This window comes from Homo sapiens, chromosome 10, assembly GCF_000001405.40.
Source record: "Homo sapiens chromosome 10, GRCh38.p14 Primary Assembly".
Lineage (NCBI taxonomy): Eukaryota > Metazoa > Chordata > Mammalia > Primates > Hominidae > Homo > Homo sapiens.
The window spans coordinates 19,910,904-19,933,633 of NC_000010.11; the positions used below are offsets into that span (position 1 = coordinate 19,910,904).

At 39.3% G+C, this 22,730-nt stretch overlaps 1 protein-coding gene across 3 annotated transcripts in view, besides 1 other annotated feature; it reads left to right on the forward strand.

Moving 5' to 3' along the window:
- Nucleotides 1-22,730, forward strand: part of PLXDC2 (plexin domain containing 2) — a 473,425-nt gene that overhangs the window by 94,472 nt on the left and 356,223 nt on the right. The window lies entirely within an intron of this gene.
- Nucleotides 9,087-9,588: an enhancer, noted in NCBI's record as "H3K27ac hESC enhancer chr10:20208919-20209420 (GRCh37/hg19 assembly coordinates)". NCBI's record gives its function as "activates a minimal SCP1, AML or CMV promoter by ChIP-STARR-seq in primed H9 embryonic stem cells {active_cell/tissue: H9 hESC(primed)}" and the evidence as "EXISTENCE:reporter gene assay evidence [ECO:0000049][PMID:30033119]".

Below are 22,730 nucleotides of genomic sequence, written 5' to 3' on the forward strand. Positions count from 1 at the left end.
GGAGGCTGAGGCAGAGAATCGCTTGAACCTGGGAGGCAAAGGTTGCAGTGAGCTGAGATCATGCCACTGCACTCCAGCTGAGGGGACAGTGTGAGACTGAGTCTCAGAAAACAAAAAACAAAACAAAACAAAAAAGAATAGCTTAGTTTATGCCTCATCTCGTTCTCAAAAGTTTGGACCTTCTCGGGGGTGTGACTTGCTCACCAGGAAATGGGCTGCAGGTATTACCTGGTGTTAACCTTCCTTGATCCAAGACCATATAATATTTGAAAGTGTGAGTACAGATTATCTAGTGTGTATGCTCAAAAACTAGGCCAGAAACATGAAAGGAATCATTGAGCGTGTTGATCATTCTGAGATAGTGCTAAAAACTGAAATGTGTCTGTGGAAGGGGATAAAAATCTAAAGTTTACCCTTCTAGGTATATTTTACCTACACATAACTTTAAATACTGAATGCCTCCTGTAAACATGTTCCAATTTGCTCTAGCATAATTTTAAATAAAACCTCCTTAGTTGTCTCATTCAAGTTCTCTAAGGTTACTGTTTTGCCATATAAAATTTCCCATATACCTTACATTATATTTGCTTGTGATGGTAAAAAAGTAGGTATCAGCTTCAGTAGAGCCTTTGTCAAACATCCAAGCCATGAGAGGTGCTAGGCTTATGGATTCACAGACAGAACTTAAGGGATCTTTGAAGTCATCTCGTTTCACCTTATAGTTGTGAAAACTGAAGACCCAGAGAAATGAAATAACCTCCCCATTGAAGCCAGAGCCTTTGGTGAGTGAGCCAGGTAGAACCCAGTACTCTTGTCTCTAGTTGAGAGCTTTTTCTACCATGCCAAGACACATACAGTCTTTTCTATTTTTAGTTCATTAAAAAAGAAAATTATTTTATCAATGAAAATATATTACAATTTTTCTGTGTTACAGATCAGTATTTAATTCTGTGCAAATATGGATAGTGAATAGATCGATACATATTTAAGAGTGTATGTTCTATGTAAGCAAATTGTTTCTCTTTCTCTGAAATGTCTGTCTGCTGTGTCTCAAAATATTTCCCTGAAGCTATTTCTTTTCTCTATATAGGCTCCACTCTATCTTGGCTTATTACTTGTGCCATTTTCTTTCGACTTAGTTTATTTTTCTCAAACTGATTCCACATGTTACTTTCAATCACAGCATCTCAAGACTTTGGACGAACAGCCCTGAAGCATTTTGCTTCTTTGGTATTCTAAAGGGAATTTAGTCTGAGTGTACAGAGCTATTAGAGCTGAGCTGCTGAATGCTTTATCTTAGTGGGTTTTTTTTGCCTGTTTTTCTATAAGCCAGTTGATATTTTAAAAAGAAATACAAAAACTTGTTTTATTCTTTGTCTATGAATGCAGACTTTTATAAGCTTATCTTGAAATAAAATTCATCAAATGAAGAGGAATCAATCTGAGCTTTCCCATTTGAACATTCTGGTAAACTGTTTAACAAAATGAGCTAGAACTTAGCTATAACATGAAGAGAATGGGACTTTGGGAGGTGAATATACAAGCTAGTTATCAAACATCTCTTATGTAGGCTAGCAAATCCTGCCTTAATTACCTTATGATACATATGACTTTGATATCACTTTTTTCAGAATCAAATTTATCGGTCCTGGACAACAGGAGTAATGATATTGGTAACATCTGTTGATACGAGATATTGGTGCCATCTATTTTCTTTACTCTTCCTTAAAGATCCTTATTTTACTTACTTTAAAAACGGTAATAATTAACATTAGGAATAACTTTGAAAACTGCCACAAATCCTTTTAGAAGTTAGTACTATATAAAGCCTATGAACATAAAAATTGATAAATGACAACAATTAAATATGATAAAATAAATTTATGACCTCACTAGCTCTTTCTCTAGCTAGACAGTGGATTTTTCTTCTGATTATCATCCAAAGATCTCATTATATTTTTTAAATTACTGGCTATCCTAACTGTATAGTGCAGAAAACCAGGAGCTACTGGAGCTGTGTTAATCTGCACCTCTTTCCTAAGGCAGTTTAATTATGAAAAATACAGCTGAAAGACTGTTTTCTTAAGCTTTGACTCGAGAGCATGACTTTAGTAGGTTCTAGTGTCCTAGATCTCACAAGTTGTCAAAGTATCTGAATGTTTTTGAATGCAGCTATACACAATGAATTGAATCCCCAGAAGAAATCTAGGAACATCAGTGACATGGTTTGGATTTGTGTTCCTGCCCAAATCTCAAGTCGATTTGTAATCCTCAGTGTTGGAAGTGGGGCCTGGTGGGAGGTGATTGGATCGTGGGGGTGGATTTCTCCCTTTGCTGCTGTTCTTGTGATAGAGGTGTCAAGAGATCCGGGTGTTTAAAGGTGTGTAGCACCTCCCCTTTCTCTCTTTTCCTCCTGCTCTCCCTTTCCTTCCACCGTGATTGTAAGTTTCCTGAGACCTCCCCAGCTATGCTTCCTGTACAGCCTGTGGAACCATGACCCAATTAAACCTCTTTTCTTTATAAATTACCCAGTATTAGGTATTTTTTATAGCAGTGTAATACCGGACTAATACCCTCAGTTTTATTCCTATTAGTGCATTGCTGATTTCAAACTTAGATGTTTCAAATTTCAACTCTTTTATTTACAATTATTCGTTTAGTAACTCATTTGGTAACTTAAGTCGTTTCTTAAAATTAAGTCGAAATGTAGGGTGAATGTGTAAATCTCTCGCTTCACTGTAGTGTTTTGATCAATTATGATGGATGAAAATAATAGTGCCTGCCAGCTTTAGGAGGCTGTGTCATCAGCTATCAATAGCAGGTGATAAAAGAGTATGCTGGGAGTGGGGAATTACTTTCATTATTATTTTCTGTTTCTTTTTCTTAGAAAGTGTTTATTGTATCTTTTGTAATATTACATTTTGACCTAGACCATTTACTGTGGAAATAGAAAAGTTAATTTCAACTACAGCTTTTTATTTTAGTTCTACCCGAATCATCAGAGTAGTTAAAACACAGACACACACACAGACAAACACACAGACACAAGCACATACAATGGTAAGTATTATGCTTGAAAGGAAAAGATAAGATCCTCCATTTTCTACTGAAAATGACAATAAAGAAGGGAAGGAAGGAAGCAGGCAGAGGGAGAGCAGGAGGGAGGGAGAGAAGGGAAGGAGGAAAGAAGGGAGGGAAGAAGGGAGGGAGGTAGGGAGGTAGGGAGGAAGGAAAGAAGGAAGGAAGGAAGGAAGGAAAGAAGGAATACATCAAGTGAAATTACTTTGAGAATCATTTTTCTTTTTTTCATTTCTTCTTTTATGTAGAATATTAAATTATAATTGCATGGTCTTATTAATCTCTGTCATTCCTTACTTTTCCTTTCAATTTTAATTCTGAAAAGAAGAGCTAGGTAAAGTATGTAATCATTGGGATTCCACTTCATTACCATATGCAATCACTATATTCTGTCTCAGTAGATATTCCATTGATTTACTTGCATTACAGAGTGGGTTTTAAAGTTACTTAGAATCTGCATTTCTAATATCTTAATTAATTCACCAAATTGCAATCTTCCATAATGCTCATGACCATTCACGAGAAATAAATGATAAGTAAAGAGTTGAAACGTTAAAGTTACTTCAAGGATTTCTTAGGTTCTTTTTCAGGCCAAAGCATTTATAGCATAGTAAAGAGAAAAGCGAACATAAAACAAGATCTTGGTACTTTCATGTAATGACCTAATTTATACCTTTGAACAATTCTATAGCATAGACTCCATCAGTCCCATTATTTTAGGATGGGAAGACAGAATCTGAGAGAAACTTTTAGAAAACTGAAGCCCAGGGTCACACAAGTACAATAGTCAAAGTCTAGTCCCACACCTTTATGACCTGAAACCATGAATTAAAATTGTATGTCTTCTTGATGGATTGACAGTTTTATCAAGACAATCCCTTTCTGTCTCTGGTAATTTTCATTGGTCTGAAGTCTACTTTATGTGGTATTAATGTAGCCACTCTAGCTACTAATGTAGCCTCTCTAGATTTCTTTTGATTGGTGTTTGTATGACACATCTTTACTTTCATACTACCTCTATCAATAAAATTAAAGTTAGTTTCTCATAGACACTGTATTGATGAGTCATTTTTTTTAAATTTACTCTACCAATCTCTGTCCTTTAACTGGTATATTTAGAACATTTACACTTAATAAAATTATTGGTAATTTGTTAAGGCTCAACTCTGCCATTTTAATATTTGTTTTCTGTTTGTTTTCCTTTATTGTTGTTTATCTGCTTCCCCTTTCTGCTTTCCTGTGAGTGATTTGAACATTTTTAGTGTTCCATTTTGCTCTACCTATAGTGTTTCTGAGAATATCTTTTTGTATATTTTTAGTGGTTACTCTAGAGATGATGCAATACATCTGAAACTTATCAAAGTCTACTAATATCAATATTTTGGCACTTCAAATGAAATGTATGACTCTTACTGTCATTTAAGATGTTTTAGCCATCTCACATTGTCCTAAATGTCTTCTTTACATACATTGAGAACTACATTACAATATATAATTTTGCTTTCAATTATCAGATTTAATTTTAAAAAATCATGAGAAAATGAGTAGTGTATTTTACCCATAGATTTTCCTGCTCTATTGTTCTTCCTTTGCACTGATGTTCCAAGTTCCTTTTGTTGTAATTTTCTCTCTCTGAAGAACTTCCTTTAACAGTTCTTTTAATCAGGTCACTAAGTCGTTTCTTCCATCTTGAGGTCCCTAGAAACTCTGTCTTCTCCGTCTCTACCTTTTGGAATCTTCTGCTGCTTGGTTCATTTGATTTATCCAAGGTTTTAGGTATGATAAGAGGGTGGACTAAGGCAAAATATGCTTGCCCCATCCTTCTGGAACTGGAAGTCCTCCCTATACTTTTAAAAATTTATTCATGTTAAACCAAAAAAAAAGAAGAAGAAGAAGAAGAAGAAAAAAAACAGCTGCTGTAGCCTCTGCAACTTGCTGAGAGCTTGTTTAGGAATAGAGAGCTTATTTTTCCCTTCCCTCTATCTCAGCTCAAGCCTAACAGCCAGGTGGTGCTTTCATGTGTACCTCTCTTGCATCCTAGAAAGTACAAAGTACATCTGACTTGGAAATGCTCTGTGGGTAAGAATGTGAGCCGCATCAACGTAGATAAAATATTTACGGGGAAATTATGTGGAGGGAGTTGTGTTTTGTTTTGTTTTTTTTTTTTAATGGAGTCTCACTCTGTCACCTAGGCTGGAGTACAGTGACAGGATCATGGCTCATGACAGGATCATGGCTCACTGCAACTTCTGCCTCCAGATTCAAGCAATTCTCCTGCCTCAGCCTCCTGAGTAGCTGGGATTACAGGGGCACCTCACCACGCCTGGCTCATTTTTGTATTTTTTTTAGTAGAGATGGGGTTTCGCCACGTTGGCCAAACTGGTCTTGAACTCCTGACCTCAGGTGATCCGCCCACCTTAGCCTCCAAAAGTGCTGGAATTACAGGTGTGAGCCATCGTGCCCAACCTGGAAGGGGACTTTTTTTCTTTTTTCAAAATACATATGGATACATAAGCAATCAAAGTCTCAAAAATACTCAAATAAAAATTACAATGGTAATGGTAGCCAACAATTATTTATAGGCACTATGCTAAGCTATGTACTATATAAAACAATTGTCACACTTTAGGAAATGATTATTTATTATTATTATTATCACCATTTAACATACCAAGCAACTCAAGTCCAGAGACAAATCTCACTGAGCTACACAGTGGTAGAGCTGCAGTGAACTCAAACTTTTCCCCATAGATCTGTGGATTAGAAATAAATATGTACAATACCTGGCACCTATTCAGTGCTTGAAAACTGGAGTAATCGTCATAGTTATAATTTTCTGTAATTTAAATAATCATGTCATCCAGGTATACTCATGATTTCCCAACATTGAGTCTCTAGAGCAAAATTCCATGTGTATGCAGAGCAGAGATTTTTGTAGCAACAGTGGTTAAATATAACTTTTTAGTCATTCAAAAAGAGGGATGATTAAAAATAATGAAAGTATTATGAAAAGAGTTTGAAGACCATTCTTTATAAAAGGCTCACTGGTAGGTGTGGCTTTTGACTGATTTTCATCATCTAAGTTGGAAAGTCACTATTGACAATATCTCAACTCTTCTAGAAAATTGTGAAGTTTATTTAGTCAGGGCTTTTCTTGAGTCTGACTCTTGCTTTATGTTGCTAAGAGTGTCATAAGCATTGAGTCTGGCAGTGCGGTGTGAGAAAGAACATTTTCATGGTGACTTGAGCATTGCTCCAAGGCTGGGCACAGAGGCAGGATAGAACTGTGTTCAATTTTTTGGTACTGCTATAACAACATTAAGGATATTTTATGTTCTTGGTGGGCTACAGTTCGCTTTAAGCTCAGCCAGGCTACCTTATAAACAAAAATATATTTTCCATGATACTTCAAATCCATCCTGAAATTGAGCATCAAAAGTATCACAAAAACTTAAAGCATGCTTCATACTCTTCAAATTCTATGACTTTCCTTTGAATTGTGGACATAAATTCTCATAAATGGTTTTGAAATTCTTGAAAATATCTGATTCAGTTCAGCCTCAATCCTTTTCAGCAATGAAAGGGAATGCAGTTTCTGGATTTTAAGCACATATGTTCAGTCTGAATTTCAATAACTGTCCTTTTAAGTTTAGGCTGTTTGTATTTTCTCACATTAGTAAGAAAGGGATTCAGACAATATGGGTCTCTTAGAGACCTTTAATTCTCCAAAAGTCCATGATATGTGTCAATAGCTGAGTAAACTTTTTAGTGGGTATTTAAAACCTACTCATCTGAATGCATTACGATAAAATAAATTAAATGCCTATATTCTGCTTCAGCTGCCTGTGAATAACTCATAAACTGGGGGACTGGACAACAAAGAAAACACACAATCATGATCAGTTTTTCCTCATGTTAAGGCAGTGAACCTATTTGCAAAGTTCACAGCACACACTCTCCTGGTGAGTTATGCCAAAAGAACCCACTGTATTTCTCCTCGGGTTTGAATGAACTACTGGAATATTTTTACCCTTTCTATGCTGGTGTCCCATCACTGCATTCAGCAGTTTTGGACTGAGATCTAAGTTCCCACACTCCATTTCAGCCATTGGATAATTTGTGTATGGTAGCCCTATAGATACTATCTTCTTGCCAGAAGAGCTGAGCAGGTCAGATATCCTAGTTTAGATGAGTTACCCCAGGCATGCCAATTTCATCTAGTCCTCCACTGTTTGAGAGAGACCAAGAGATCTGTGGTTTAAGATGTGTAGCTGGTTCATGAAAGAGTCAGGAAATTCCACCCATTCTTTTCAAAAGAATGTAATTAACCTGGGTTGCAGTAGTTGAGAAAATGCTTTGCAAAGCAGGTGGAGCTTCCTATAAGCCTAAGTGACGAGAAGAACAGGGCAGGTAGAGTTCAAAGTCAGTCCATTCTCTACATTAAGGGAAGCTGTGAAAGGAAGGCCTTGGAAACATTGAAAAGCACATAGGGGCATGGAGGATCATGAGCTGACCGATCTTTTCTGACATCAAGTACATTAAACACAAGTTGAGCAAATCGATGCAACTATTTTGTAATGAAATAAAGTGTTCAACTATGATGTATTTTAAAACAACAAAAATAGAAGCTTGGTCTGGCCTCTAACTTTGGATTTGGGAGGCTTAGAAATTGTGTGAGAGAACATATTAAAGAAAAGTAAAATATTAACACAGGCAGTACTTTCCCATACTTTAATATCGAGACTCTTGACGAACATAAGTAGCTTGATTATGGAAGATTTTCTTACCTCAAACAACAAATAAACTTTCTTAAAAGGACATGGATGAGAATGGCTTCCCTTTCGGTATCAAGTAATAGATTGCTAAGCATTTCTCAATCGTTAAGAAGTTATTTCATCATGTATGGAGTGCAAGTTGAGTTGCAGGGCATATAAGCATGACTGTATTAAGTATAAATCTGCATTCCTGCATCTGAGGATCCTGTGAGGTCTGTCTCCCAGGAAACAATCTGGATAGTTAATGACACATGGGATGGGTCAGGGCAGATTGTGAGAAGCGCAGTGTTGATTATGTAAACTTGGATTTTGTACAATTGTAAATATAGGGTATTTCCTGTATTGCACTGTGGCTATAAACTAGGGAGAAATGTAAATACAGGGTCTAACTCTGTAAATAGCGTCTGATTATTCCTAATAGTGTGCTCTTTGAAAACTGCTTTTCAATTAATACAGTATGTCATATTCTTATCCAAAAGGGTGAAAATAAAAATCCATCTTATAAACACTTTGGTTTTAATCGATATTAGGTGTGCTTTTACAGTGTTGTTCTTATTTTGGTTTGCACAAAAACCTTATTAAAAAAGGACATTATCTTGCATGTAGGCACTTGCTAACAGGAATGCAGCTTGCTGCCAGAGAATATTCTAAACTGCCAAGCTTGTTGGGAGCCTGCTGTAAAAATATCTGCAGCTTGGAAGAATTGGAGATGGCTAATAACAGTGACTATAATTAATAGTTAATTGTTTTAAGGAAAGAAATTAACAAATTGAGCTGATAGTCTACCCAGTTAAAAAACAAGAAGCAAAATGAATTCAGAGAAAGACAGCAATATGTATTGTCCTCACAGTTATTTCTTATGGACATGTTTGGTATTATATAATACATTTTCTTTTTGATATATACCTGCAGCTGATAGTGGTAATTCTTGGCCCATCAGACCTTTGGTTTATTTTGCCTTTCTCTTGTGCCTTTTATTATTAAATCTTGCCCTTTGGTCATGGTGTGTTCAAACTCTATCTAGACGATTCCATTCTAGACACAACACAACAAGGTGATTGTAAAAGTTACTATGTTTAGTCTGCAGAAGAAAATGCTAGGCGAACACTAGGTGTGAACTACCTTCTAGTGTGTGAAAGGCTGTTTGAAAAGTCAGACATTTATGATACTGCAGAGTTGTTGATTTAGGAGGAATGGAGTAGAAAAGAAAACAAATGACAACTTTACCCACCCCCAAACACACACTCAAGTAATTTTATAACAACAACATTCTCACACAGCAGTCAGTGGCTGGAGGTGGTATTTGCTATCACTTTACCACTTTTAGATGGGGCAATATATCTTGTTGCCTCTGCCCCTGCTAATTCCCAACCGTGAGGCCAAGCTCCTGTGGCTGTCATGGTTGCGTGTGATACGGCAGTGCTGGGAAGGGAAGAGCATGGTCCCTTTAAATGATACATAACGGGTGGTGGGGTAGGGGGAAAGGAACTGCTGAGCAGAGGAGGGTGTGGTCCCTGGCTAGGGCTCCACCCCCACAGACCTAGGTGAGGACAGGCATTTCCTCCCTAAATGTTGCATTTCCCAAGACCAACCTGGCCTGCCACACCCCCATCCTGTGCCTATAAAAACCCCAGAGACCATAGCAGGCAGACACAAAGATGGCTGGACATCCAGAGGAGCATGTGTTCCTCCACTGAGGATGGATGGTGGCTGGATGTCAAGAGGAATGCACAGGCATATGTGGCATGCCACCAGGCCATGAACTGGTGGAAGGAGGGGGAGTTTGGCTGGGGCAGTCAGAGGAGAGGCCAGGCCACTGAGTGGCCCTACTCCAGGGGAAAACCCTCCCACTCCATTCCCCCTTTTGGCTGCCCCCATCTGCTCAGAGCTACCTCCACTCAAACAATCCTCCCACCTCAGCCTCCAAAGTAGCTGAGACCACAGGCATGCACCATCACACCTAGATAATTTTTGTATTTTTTGTAGAGACAGGGTTTCGCCTTGTTGCCCAGGCTGTTTTTGAACTCCTGGCCTCAAGCAACCTGCTGGCCTAATCCTCCCTAAGTGCTGAGATTATAGGCATGAGCTACCATGCCCAGCCTTTATTCTGTTTAAGTGAACATTTAAATTAACTTCAGTTTGTATGATTTTTATTATTTTTATTACTTTATTTTATTTTATTTTTTATAGAGAGAGGGTCTAGCTCTGTTTCCCAGGCTGGAGTTCAGTGGCATGATCATAGCTCACTGAAGCCTTGAACTCCTGGGCTCAAACAGTCTTCCCACCTCAGCCTCCCAAGCAGCTAGGACTATAGGTGTGCACCACCATGTCTGGCTTTCTTTTTCTTTTCTTCTTCTTTTTTTTTTTTTTTTGTCGCCCAGGGTGGCCTCAAACTTCTGACATCAAGTGATCCTCCCACTTTGGCCTCCCAAAACACTGGGCATATGAATTTTAAAAGCAGGACTTTGGTTTCATAATTTTAAAAGTATCACTTAGAATGTGACCTACAAAATCATCTTGATTTTTATGTGTTAAATTTGAGAAAGTATGTTCACAGGACATCAATAAGAGACAATTAATCAAAAGCATAGAGGATATATGATTTTGTAGATGTTTCAGAGGGACAGTTTCATCCCTGTTGGCCGTCTTCCTCGTAACTAATAATGAGAACCTCCCTTCTTCTGGAAAGCTATGACATTCACTTAGGGATTTGGCAAGTATTCTAAGAAGACTTGATTCTTGCTTTCACAGAGCACAGACTCTCAGATGATTAACTGACTTAGACCATGCATCATTACGTAACCAGACAAAAACAAAGCATGCTAAGTTAATTTTACTCTTAGCTGCATTTTTCCCCATCGAAAACTCTGTTATGATTACAATTTCCCTCTTCCTTAAGGTTGCAGCTTTAGCTTTCATGGAGCCAGTGAGGCTACACAGGGCTACAGGACAATTGTGTTGTGTGGTCTGTGCTCTGCACATAGGCCCTGGCCTAGTGAGGCAAGGGGCTGAAATAGAGCCTGCATTCCATGTGCCAAGCCCAGTGTATTAGGGCCAGTTGGGACAACTGTGTCTATCTTTTTTTTAATTGTTCAATTTTTTTTAATTTTTTTATTTTTTTGAGACAGCGTCTCACTCTGTCTCAGTCTGGAATGCAGTGGCATGATCTTGGCTCATTGTAACCTCCGTCTCCCGAGTTCAAGTGATTCTCCTGACTCAGCCTCCCGAGTAGGTGGGACTAACAGTCATGCACCACCATGCCCGACTAATTTTTGTATTTTTAGTAGAGACGAGGTTTCACCTTGTTGGCAAGGCTGGTCTCGAACTCCTGACCTCAAGTGATCTGCCTGCCGCAGCCTCCCAAAGTGCTGGGATTACAGGCGTGAGCCACCGTTCTCAGCCAGGACAACTGTGTCTAAATGTTTTACCCAGAGGACACCCAATTCTGATGTCCACAGAAATGCTCTACAGGCTGGCAGAGGCTCTGGAGCTAGACATATGCCTCTGCCTACCCATTGTGAATTGAGAGATAGTGTTCCAGTGTGGTTAAAAGCTTATCGTAACTTGTACTTTATGGGGCTGTCCCTGGAGGGTAGGGTTATGTGTGTGTGTTGGTGTAGAGAGGCAGTGAGACACACATCAGTGAAAGCTTTGTTTACTTGCTATTTTTTTAAAGCACAGGTTCTGGGATCAGGAGGAAGGAGATGGTGTTGGAGGTGAGGCTTCCTTCTATGAGTCATGATTCCACTTACTTGACTTTAGCCTTTTGGAGTGTCCCTGGGGTTGGGTTTGTTGGAGGCTTCATTTGTGACCAGTACTGTGTGTGTTTTCACTCAGTACAGTTTTGAATAGATGCTACCACATTTACTTTACGGCTTAGTTGTATGGAACTCAAGAAGAAGGGATAAACGCTTGTCACCTTGGAGAGTATATATGAGACTCAGCTTAGTGATTTCAGTGGCAAAATCCAGCTCAGTGTTTCAAAAACTAAAACATGTTTTGAAAGCTTATAAAGTTGGTCTCCAGTGCCAGAAATTCCCATTTTGGACTGGCTTCAAGGCAATGAAAGCTCAGACACTGACTCATTGAACTATTTCCTTATTAATAACATAGTACCAAGCATTTTTGAGGGTTGAAAAAATAACTGAACTGTTGTCCAAAACCTTTGAGCCTCTCAAATGCAAAGCTTTTTAAAATTCTTAATTTTGAGACTTTTGTGATTTCAAAGGAAATCTGATCTATCTATCTCTTTATATGTTGTTTATTCTTAACTCATCCAAGTGCTATTTGGCCAAGATTGGCTTATGTTTAAAAAAAAAATCTCTTAAGTCATTTTATAAGCTGTTCAGGGCTTTATTTCTTTAGACCAGGAAGTTGTAAATTGCCAGCATTAAGCAGAAGGTGTGTTGTTGAGTGCTAGTTTTATTGAAAAAGAATGAGGTTTTATGTATTTTTGAGATTTGCTTTATTGACAATCCACCCCAAAATATCATTTCTCTTAGATATACTGTTAGAAAAGTCTCGCCTGAAGAAAAACAAAACAAAAACAAAGAACAACAACAAAAGACATAAAGTATTGCCTAGTTAGAACAATGACAATCCAAATTATTTTGATGAAACATAAGCACATTTAGAATTAACACAGGGTTTATCAAAGAGTTATGTAAGAGTAAAAATCAAAGGATTTATATAATTTTTATTCATGCTAATAAAATGTCATTCTGAGGGCTTGGCATTGTTATACATATTTATTAAACTGAATACTTTTCATTTGATATGGGCAGAAAAAATTGCTTTATCCAATTGCTACACTGAGGCAATTAAGGATAATTTAAAAAATTCAAGACAGTCAATAGAAAATGAGGGAGAAAAAGGAACTAACAAGTCTTATCTTTGATTTCATGTGAAAAGATTGATTTGGTTTTTCTAGCAAAAACAGGGATATAAATCCTGCCCAAATTTTGTATAAAATAAAGTTAATAATCTATAACTGATTCCCTCCATTACTATTTATCAGTATATAATTTGGCCAGTCAGTGGCTCATGCCTGTAATCCCAGCACTTTGGGAGGCCAAGGCTGGTGGATTGCTTGAGCCCACGAGTTCAAGACCAGCTTGGGCATCATAGCGAGACCCTGTGGCTACAAAAAAATACAAAAATTAGCTTCATTTGGAGTGCATGCCTGTAGTCCCCACTCCTTGGGAGGCTGAAGGGGAAGGATTGCTTGAGCTGGGAGGTGGAGGTTGCAGTGAGCCATGATCTTCACTCCAGCTTGGGCAGCAGAATGAGACTCTGTGTCTGTACAGTTCCCGGAAGTCCCAACCGGCCAGCATTTACCCAACCTCTCCTCCCAAATAAAAAACTTTCTTATAAAAGCCTCAGCTTGTAAGCAATCAGGGTCTCAGTCAGACTCCTGACTGGGACCCCTCACGGGCTTATTCCTGTGAATTAACCTGTTTGGCCATTGAGTTGCCTCCCATCTCTCACTCTCTTCCTTTACGTTTTCCTAACATTTGGTGCCAAAACCTGGGACCAGGCTCTAGGCTTCTTGGCAGAGAGGTTGTCTCTCGCAGCCTCCCATTCCCAACCCCCTCTACCACCCTTCTTTGCACCTTCACAGCCCACTCTCCTTTATATATATACCCCGTGTGTTATGTATATAATTTACCGATTTCCTTTGAATTTTATGTACGGCTAGCAATTACATTGACATTTCTGATGAGCGAAGGCCTTGATTCCTTGGCAAGGTTATATAATAGTGGCCAATAAATGTCCTTATGTATTCACAGATGAAAACATTGAAACCTAAATGGAAAACAATCTTTCCCAGCCACAACATGAGTAGTGTGGTTCCAGATAGAGTTAAAAAATAGATATAAAATCCCCAGATCTGTATTTAACTCTTAGGCAGTCTGTGTAAATCATTTGGAGGAGATCTGAAAAGATGACAGATACCTTGTGTCCATGTTTCTTCGTCTCTAGTAAGTAACAGGTTTTGGTAAAGACATTCAACTTCTTGATGGTGCAGTTTCCACATTTATAAAATAGATATTGGTGTCTGTGTGTTCACCTGTAATAAAGGTGACAGGTTAGTGCTAGAAAAATGTACTTCACTCCCCAGATGGAAAATGGAATTTCCTGGTGCCCATTTTATTACCATCTATAGAGATCATAATGGCCTGTCCCACATCTCAATGAAGTTGTATTTCTTATCGGTTACCTCGCCATGCTTTTTGGGAGGTTGACAGTAAATGGATTCAAAATTGGGGTGAAGTTAAAGGTCTGCAAACTGTGACTGTATAGAATATAAATTTGTGAACCTGCTTGAGACAGCACAGTTAACCCACTTAAGTTCCAGCCGTGACACCAGTGAACTGTATTTAACATCAAAGTGCCGGAGAAGGTCACCTAGGTCCTGCAGGAAAGTCCGTCGAACTTATTGCAGCTCAGCTGGAACCAGGAGGCAGCAGAAGGCATGGAGAGCCTGCATGGCCTCTGCACACCAGTGAATTTATCACCTGGCATGCACTGTAGCAGCCAAGCAATTCTGCTGTAAGTGGGCCTTGTGTGGACAGTTTTGAAAGACATATGACAGACCTGAGAATAGTCAGGAGGGAGTTGAGCAATCCCTCATTTCAGAATAGTTAATGACAGAAGAGCATGGAGAGGCTTTTGATCTGCTTTTTAAAAATTTATGTTTTTAGCAATTAACATTTGCATTCATATCTTTGAAAATAAGGCCACTATCTGATTATGTATTTAATCATTAAGTTTTGTGCTGATTGAATCACTTTCTCAAGAATCTCAGATGGAAAATAAAATGGGCAAATGCAGAATTCCTTTCCATTTTTTCCTATTGTTCTCATATTGTGGGGAGACATTGGTTGTGAGAGTAGACTCAAACATGGGCTTTGCACAGACTTTGAGTAAGGGACTGCTATGGGGTGACAGAGAGTAGTTGAAGTCACAGAGTGATGAGTTGACTTTTCTGTTTAGAATCTGCCCATGCCAAGGCGGGCTTTTATCAGCCTCTGTAGGACAATACTTAGGTGAGGAATAGCATTCACCGAGTTGAGGTTACCTGCTGTTTTCCACACAGTAATCTGAGAATGCGTGCAGTCTGATGAGCTTTTCTCAGTTGCTGTTTTGTACCGGGGTTGATCGTCTAAACTCTATGCTCATTATATTGATCCGCTGGCATTAGAGAGCTCCCACATATGAACGCTCAATGTATCCACATGGAGGCATTAGGCAGCAACCTCGGGGAGCTGAAGTTGACATTTTTCTTTATTTTTTAAATATAGGACAAATAGGAGTAAACAAAAAATTTGGAGAGTAAAAGAGGTGACACAAAATACAGTTCTACCTGGTCTGGTTTAACTAGAAATGAATTTAGAGAAGCAGAATTGCCAGTTACTCACACAGCAATCTCTGCCTGTTATGAATCTGTGACTTTCTATCATCCCATGGTATAAAATAAAGGCAAGAAATAATGACTTTTATTCATGCTTGGCCAATGATCCAGGTGAGATTACATCCTCATTGGAATGGACAGGGCCTCTGTTGCAGCTTAGTTTTATGGAAATTACAGTTCTGCCATAGGGTGGGTGGCAGGTGTTTATTGTTTGCAGTATTGCAGTATTATATTGTCAGAAAATCACCTAAAGGAGTAGAAGAGAAAGGGCTGATTTGCTTAATAGAGGCGTCAGCAGGCGGAAATTCACGGGCTTGCTGCACTATGTTCATCTTGCCTGAGAAATGTAATAGCCAGTTATCGGAAAGGGCTGATTGAATCACTTTCTCAAGAATCTCAGGTGGAAAAAAAAATGGCCAAATGCAGAATTCCTTTCCATTTTTTCCCATTGTTCTCATATTGTGGGGAGACATTGGCTGTGAGAGTAGACTCAGTGTCAGTTTTGTTAAAAGCATGCACTTCCCCCAGTTTCAACGGTGCCTTGGAGAAATGTATAGAAGACTTCACTGTGAAATGAGAAAGCACGTAGTTTCAGTTACTGAAATAAGACACTCTATGTGGTGTAGCAATGAGATGGGATAATTATTTGAGTATCTGTAAAGACCAATGAGAGCCCTTGACATTTTGATCATTGCATCTTTTATTAAGATAGACTTTAGAAGTTCACAGGTAGCTCCTAACCTAGGAGTTTTCCTCAATGTGAATCATGATTGTTGTCCTAAGTCTTTCTGTCTCTTTCCTCATCTTCATTTCTAATGTTTGAGCCCCAGAGTCATCAGCCTCCCTTCTTGCTGACCTTATCCATCTGCTCTCTGATTTACTATGGTGTCGTTGTTGCTGACAAAATTGACTTATTCATTCAGTCATTTATTTATTCAGTAGTCATTCAGTTTGTTTGGAGTGGCTAAAACATTCAAGGTGCTCTGTTAGAATTCTGGGAATAAAAAGATTGGGCAGAAAAATCAACCCCACCTTGTGAAAGTAACACACAAGACACTGAACTGCAGTAAAACAGGGTAGGTTATGAGTCACGGGCATTGGGAGCACAGGAGAGGGAGTGACAACACCTAGGAGATCCCGGAGGAAGCTGACATTTCACTTGGACTCTGAAGGATAAGATTATTTTTTCTTATGAATTAGGAATGAAGGAAATCCAGGTAGAGAGACAAATTTATAAAAGCAAGGAATTGGCTGGGCGCGGTGGCTCATGCCTGTAATCCCAGCACTTTTGGAGGCCAAGTCAGGCGGATCAAGAAGTCAAGAGATGGAGACCATCCTGGCCAACATGGTGAAACCCCGTCTCTACTAAAAAAATACAAAAATTAGCTGGGCGTGGTGGCGCATGGCTATAGTCCCAGCTACTCGGGAGGCTGAGGCAGGAGAATCGCTTGAACCTGAGAGGTGGAGGGTGCAGTGAGCCGAGATTGCCCACTGCACGCCAGCCTGGGTGACAGAGTGAGACTCCATCTCAAGGAAAAAAAGCAAAAAAAAAAAAAAAAAAAAAAAAAGCAAGGAATCATGGGTGGGTATAATATCCTCCTTGAAAAATGAGAAGTTCAATGTCACTAACTTCTTTTATATACATTTTTTATTTCAATAGCTTTAGGGGTACAAGTGGTTTTTGGTTTCACAGATTAATCGTACAGTGGTAAAGTGCACCTGTCAAGTGGAGTAGTGTAAATTGTACCCAATAGGTAGTTTTTCATCCCTCACCTCCCCTACCTTCCTCCATTCTGAGTCTCCAGGTCCATGATATCACTCTGTATGCTTTTGTGCACCCATAGCTTAGCTCCCATTTATGAGAAGATGCAATATTGGGTTTTCAGTTTCTAAGTTAGTTCATTTAGAACAATGGCCTCCAGTTCCATCCAACTTGCTGCAAAAGACATTATTTCTATCCTTTTTATGGCTGAATAGTATTCCATAGTGTATATATATGACATATTCTTTGTCCACTCATTGGTTGATGGGCACTTAGGTTGATTCCATATCTTTGCAATTGTGAATTGTGCTGCAATAAACATACATGTGCCAGTGTCTTTATGATATAGTGACTTCTTTTCCAATGCCACCAAATCTTAAGTTTGTAGTAGGTTGTGAAAGACTTTAGGTCTGGGGGAGAAAGTTGGGACAAACTAATGATGGACACAATATACCATTTTATGAGTTTTTAGCTTTAGATACTAGGGTAAATTGAGTGCCTTCATTTAATTAAGGCTTTTACAAATATACCTTTTTGTAGTGCAAATAATCTGTGTTTATTGCAAAATTTGGAAAAATGGGTAAGTAAGCAGAATAAATTAAGAGACCTATATCCTTTTAATAATATGGGGGCACTTGGGAGACCATCCCGTGATGAAGTGTGCCAGAGATCCAGGCCACCCCTTGGCGGGGCTTAATTCTCAGGACCTTGCTGCATTTGAGAGAAAGGAGAGTAGACTGGAGTTTCACTAATTTTATCGTAGAGATCTTGTCTGTGCTAGATTGAGAGTCTTCGGTGATGGAAGGGAAGATAGGACTTTTTTTTTTTTTTTTTTTTTTTGAAACAGAGACTTGCTCTGTTGCTCAGGCTGGAGTACAGTGGCCCAATCTTGGCTCACTGTAACCTCGGCCTCCTGGGTTCAAGTGATTCTATTGCCTCAGCCTCCCAAATAGCTTGGATTACAGGCGTGTGCCACCATGTCCAGCTAATTTTTGTGTTTTTAGTAGAGATGGAGTTTCACCATGTTGACCAGGCTTGTCTCGAACTCCTGACCTCAGCTGATTCGCCCACTTCGGCCTCCCAAAGTGCTGAGATTACAGATGTGAGCCACCATGCCCAGACGATAGGGCTTTTTATCATTCTAAAAAGAACCCATTCTTGGCTGGGCATGGTGGTTGGCTCACGCCTCTAATCCCAGCACTTTGGGAGGCTGAGGTGGGCGGATTGCATGAGGTCAGGAGTTCAACACCAGCCTGGCCAATGTGGTGAAACCCTGCTCTACTAAAAGAAAAAAAAAATAAATAACAACAACAACGAAAAGAACCCACTCTCTAGAGGGTAGCAGTTTTTTACTGGGGAACTCAAATGGGACCAGAGAGACCCCTTGATTCATACCCAACCCTCAGATTTCTATCTTGGAGAGTCAGCCTAAGCCCCCAGTGGTTTCAAAATTTCCTTTCTGCACGTGGAGTAATTAGGTTCTGTTTCAGCAACGTGAAAGGTTAAATAGATTGTCAAGAGAATCTCCATTTCTTTGTGGAAATTTGTCCACACCTTTTAACAACTGACTGACAAATAAATGTTTTAACAGTAAATCTTTTAAAAATCATGTTCTAAAGTGCCCTTGGATCTCTTTCCTTCTGACTTGGAAGCTATTTGTACACGTGCCAACACACACAGGATTGAGATCAATTTTTTCTCTCTTGTACAGGATCAGAGTCTAAGCAATGACTAGCACAAAGCTATGAGTCAGGAAGAAAAAAATAAAACAAAGCTGCGTTTCCATCCAGGCACTCTGAAATATAACCACTGATACAAAAAAACTGCCTGTTGGTTGCATGTCCCAAGGTAAAGGACAAGAGAATAGTTTCTGTTGTAATTTTATGTTAATGCTCCCCACATTCATTTCACACTGTCCATATTCAGTTCCAGAAAATCACTTTGTAGGTGGAACTGTGGTAGTGCCTGTTATTCTGAAAGCACTGTGGTGCTAAGTTTCCTTGGTCTGCTTGCACAATCCAGAAGGAAAATTTCTCCTCCGTCCTGGAGGATGTGTCATTTGAACATCTTTTAGTGCTCTCAGAAGAGCATAGATGCTCATTTATTCATTTTTTTTTCCTCCCTAGAATTTCATTGCTCCAGCCCACATTTTTTCTTTTTTTCTGTTTTCAGATAAATTTTAAGTTGCCCAAATTCCCTTAATGTCATTTACACAGCAGGCATTATACTCTTCTTAGGCCCAAATTCTAAAATTCCATTTTAGGAGATTATTTCATTAAGAAACTGACCGAAATCAATTTAAAAATGAGGATGATATGTCTCAGTTGGAAACAGTAGAACTTCAGTAGCAAACATTTATTGATTTATAGAAGGATAGAAACTTCCTTTTTTCCAGAAACAGCCGGGTTGGTTTTTTCCACTTGAGCTCTCTGCAAACCGCTAATAAGGTCTTTAGCTTTGTGATCTTAGCATAATTCATGGTTGTCAAGAGAAATATTTGCTGACTTAAAGGATATGTTGACTCTTATCAATGAAATGCAATGAAGCTGATATTTGTACTCAGAATTTTTATTTCAGGCATACTGGGCCTGTTCTACATACATAGGAAGACCAGAACAATAATACTTGCTCTGTGATAAACAGAAGGGTATACTGATTTTGGAAAATATGTCAGCTCAATTTGGAAGATTGCTAAACCACCTAAAACAGAGCCTGTTTAAAAAATAAATAAATAAAAAATAAAAAAAAGGCTGGCACGGTGGCTCACACCTGTAAATCCCAGCACTTTGGGAGGCCGAGGTGGGTGGGTCACCTGAGGTTGGGAGTTCAAGGCCAGCCTGACCAACAAGGTGAAATCCCATCTCTACTAAAACTACAAAAATTAGCCAGGCCTGGTTGCAGGTGCTTGCAATCCCAGCTACTCGGGAGGCTGGAGACATGAGAATCACTTGAACCCAGAAGGCAGAGGTTGCAGTGAACCAAGATCACACCACTGCACTCCAGCCTGGGCGACAGAGAGAGACTCCGCTGAAAAGAAAGAAAGAGAGAGAGAGAGAAAGAAAGTGGAGAGAAAGAAAGATGGAAAGAAAGAAAAGACGGTGTGCTTTTGTTTGCTGAATGATGGGATTCAGAGCAGCCAGTGTTGTCTTCTGCAACCCGCAAACACCCATGGGAAGGAGAGCTTGTCTGGTTAGTTAGATGACTTTGGATAGATGAAGAGTACAAATGCATGGCAGGAAAAAGGTTTTCAAGGCATGATCGGTTTTCCTTTGTGAGCTGAACTTGGACTCTTCAGAAGTCCTGAGGACGGGCCAGCTTGGCAAGTTTTCTCCTTTTCAGCTTCCAGTGTGCACTCCTTCTTTCCACTCTCACCTCTGAATGCTGTGTGGAGGCGCTGATCTGCCTAAGACCCAGGCTGTGAGCCAAGCTGTTTTTAATGACCGTCCTTAAGCTTCAGCCCAACAGCTGTTTTACAGGTGCACATGATTCAGCAACTAGCTCACTGTGAGTGTATGATTTAAAAGGTGCATGTAAATCATTTGAAAAGGTATTTTAAATGCTCCAGTGGGCTCGCTATTTAAAGGAATCCTTCAGCAAATCTTTTTTGAAAGGGAAGACTCTCCTTCTAATGCCAGTAATGATCACCGCCCCCTAGGTTTGGCCTTATGTATATTTGATAGATTTAAAGTGGGGTGAGATATATTTTCAGGCCGCTACGCTCTGCAGAGTTCCAGATTGAACTTCACCAGCTTGTTTATCAATGTTGTCACTGCCTTCCTGCCCCACAGGAGCATCAGCTGGTTTGGCAGGAGGAAAAGGCAGATCATCTGTGCCTCTATCTGACTCACCCTCCCTGCCATACAGAGCAGTTTCAGGCTTGTCTCCACATTCCCTCTTTCTGTGAATGAAGAATCACATGGTCACATAAAAAATATTATTGGAGCTTCAAGGATGAAAAATTCAGGAAATATACTTAATGAAGTTGAATTTCAAAACAGGAAATATCTTCTAATTTGGGAAGTGTGTGTGTGTGTGTGTGTGTGTGTGTTTAAGCTAAATAATGAAATCTTATAAAAACTTCCTGCCTGAAGAACTTGCATGACTGTATAAACAGCTTTTTGATACTGTGTATCACATGCTGTTCAAATAACCTGTCAGTCCCAGTAGGTCCTAGGTCAACATCCCTTCCTGCATTGTTGCAGTCATGATGACATAGTGTTCGCTATTTTTGTCGAAATGTTGACAAAGTACCAGAAACCAGCTCAATTGCTGGTGTTATTCCTACTCCTAATTTATTTATCAATTCTTCCAAAGGGTCTATTTTTTTCACTCCTCTATTTATTTTTTTCTCATCCTTCTCCACAATCCCTCCACTTTCTTTTCTCTTGGCACACATGTGGCTTTTCTGATCTTGAACTTATCTTCCCTTCCAGCCTTTCCTTTCTATATACCAGGACCATTCAGTCAGCCCACTGGAGTTATCAGGGTGACAAGGCTTGAAATATCTTTCAGCACGTATTAAAATAAACATGCACTTTCATAGACCTGCCTTCAGCATCCTTCATTTATGTTTATTTGTTTCACACACTATACAGCGTTTTATGATTTCTCTTTATTTTTGATTTTCTCACTTTGGGATTATGTTTTCTTCTGCAAAGCAAGACACCAACCATATGTACTGGCAATGGAAGGAGAGCAAAAGATAGCTCTCCATGCAAAATGACTTTTAAGTAAATCATAATCTTTGGATCGATTATCCTCATATCTCATATTGGAGGTTTTAGTTGCAGAAGCTAAAGTCAGAATGTTATGGGAATTAAAAAAACCACATTCTTTCTGAGCATGTTTGAACACGACACTTTCCAAACCAAATGTTCTTCTGAATTTGTTGTGCTCCATTTAGGTAGTATGTCGCCTTTGAGATATACAGAATGAAGTTCATGACTTTGGGTCAAGTAGAAAGGGATCTGGAGAACAGGGGACGGGATTTGGCATGTTCAGTTACCTTTTGTATTAGTCCTTTTATCTAGGACACTCTTGCTGCCACACATAAAATTTCCCTTTGCCAAAGAGAGGTTAGGTAATATTTTGACAACAGAAGAAAATCAGTGTCAAACAAACAAGCACGGTACCAAGCATGCAAGTGTTGTTAGTTAGGCCTGGGTTAGACTTCTGGGTAACTCACTTGGTACTTGGAGATCTTTGGGAAACTACTTAACTCCTGTCAAGCAAAGGTTCTACGTCAGCAAAATTATTCGTTATTCTTTTCTGTTTCCTCTTTTTCTTAAAGACATTTTATAGTATCTTTTGTAATATTAAATTTTGGCCTAGATCATTTACTGTGGAAATAGAAAAGTTAATTTCAACTACAGCTTTTTATTTTAGGTCTACCCAAATCACCAATTAGAGCAGTTAAAACACATATACACATGGTGGCTCATGCCTGTAATTCCAGCACGTTGGGAGGCTGAGGTGGGTGGATCACGAGGTCAGGAGTTCGAGACCAGCCTGGCCAAGATGGTGAAACCCCATCTCTCGTAAAAATACAAAAATTAGCTGGGCATGATGGTGGGCACCTATCATCCCAGCTACTCGGCAGGCTGAGGCAGAGAATTGCTTGAACCCTGGAGGTAGAGGTTGCAGTGAGCCGAGATTGAGCCACTGACCTCCAGTCTGGGTGACAGAGTGAGACTCAGTCTCA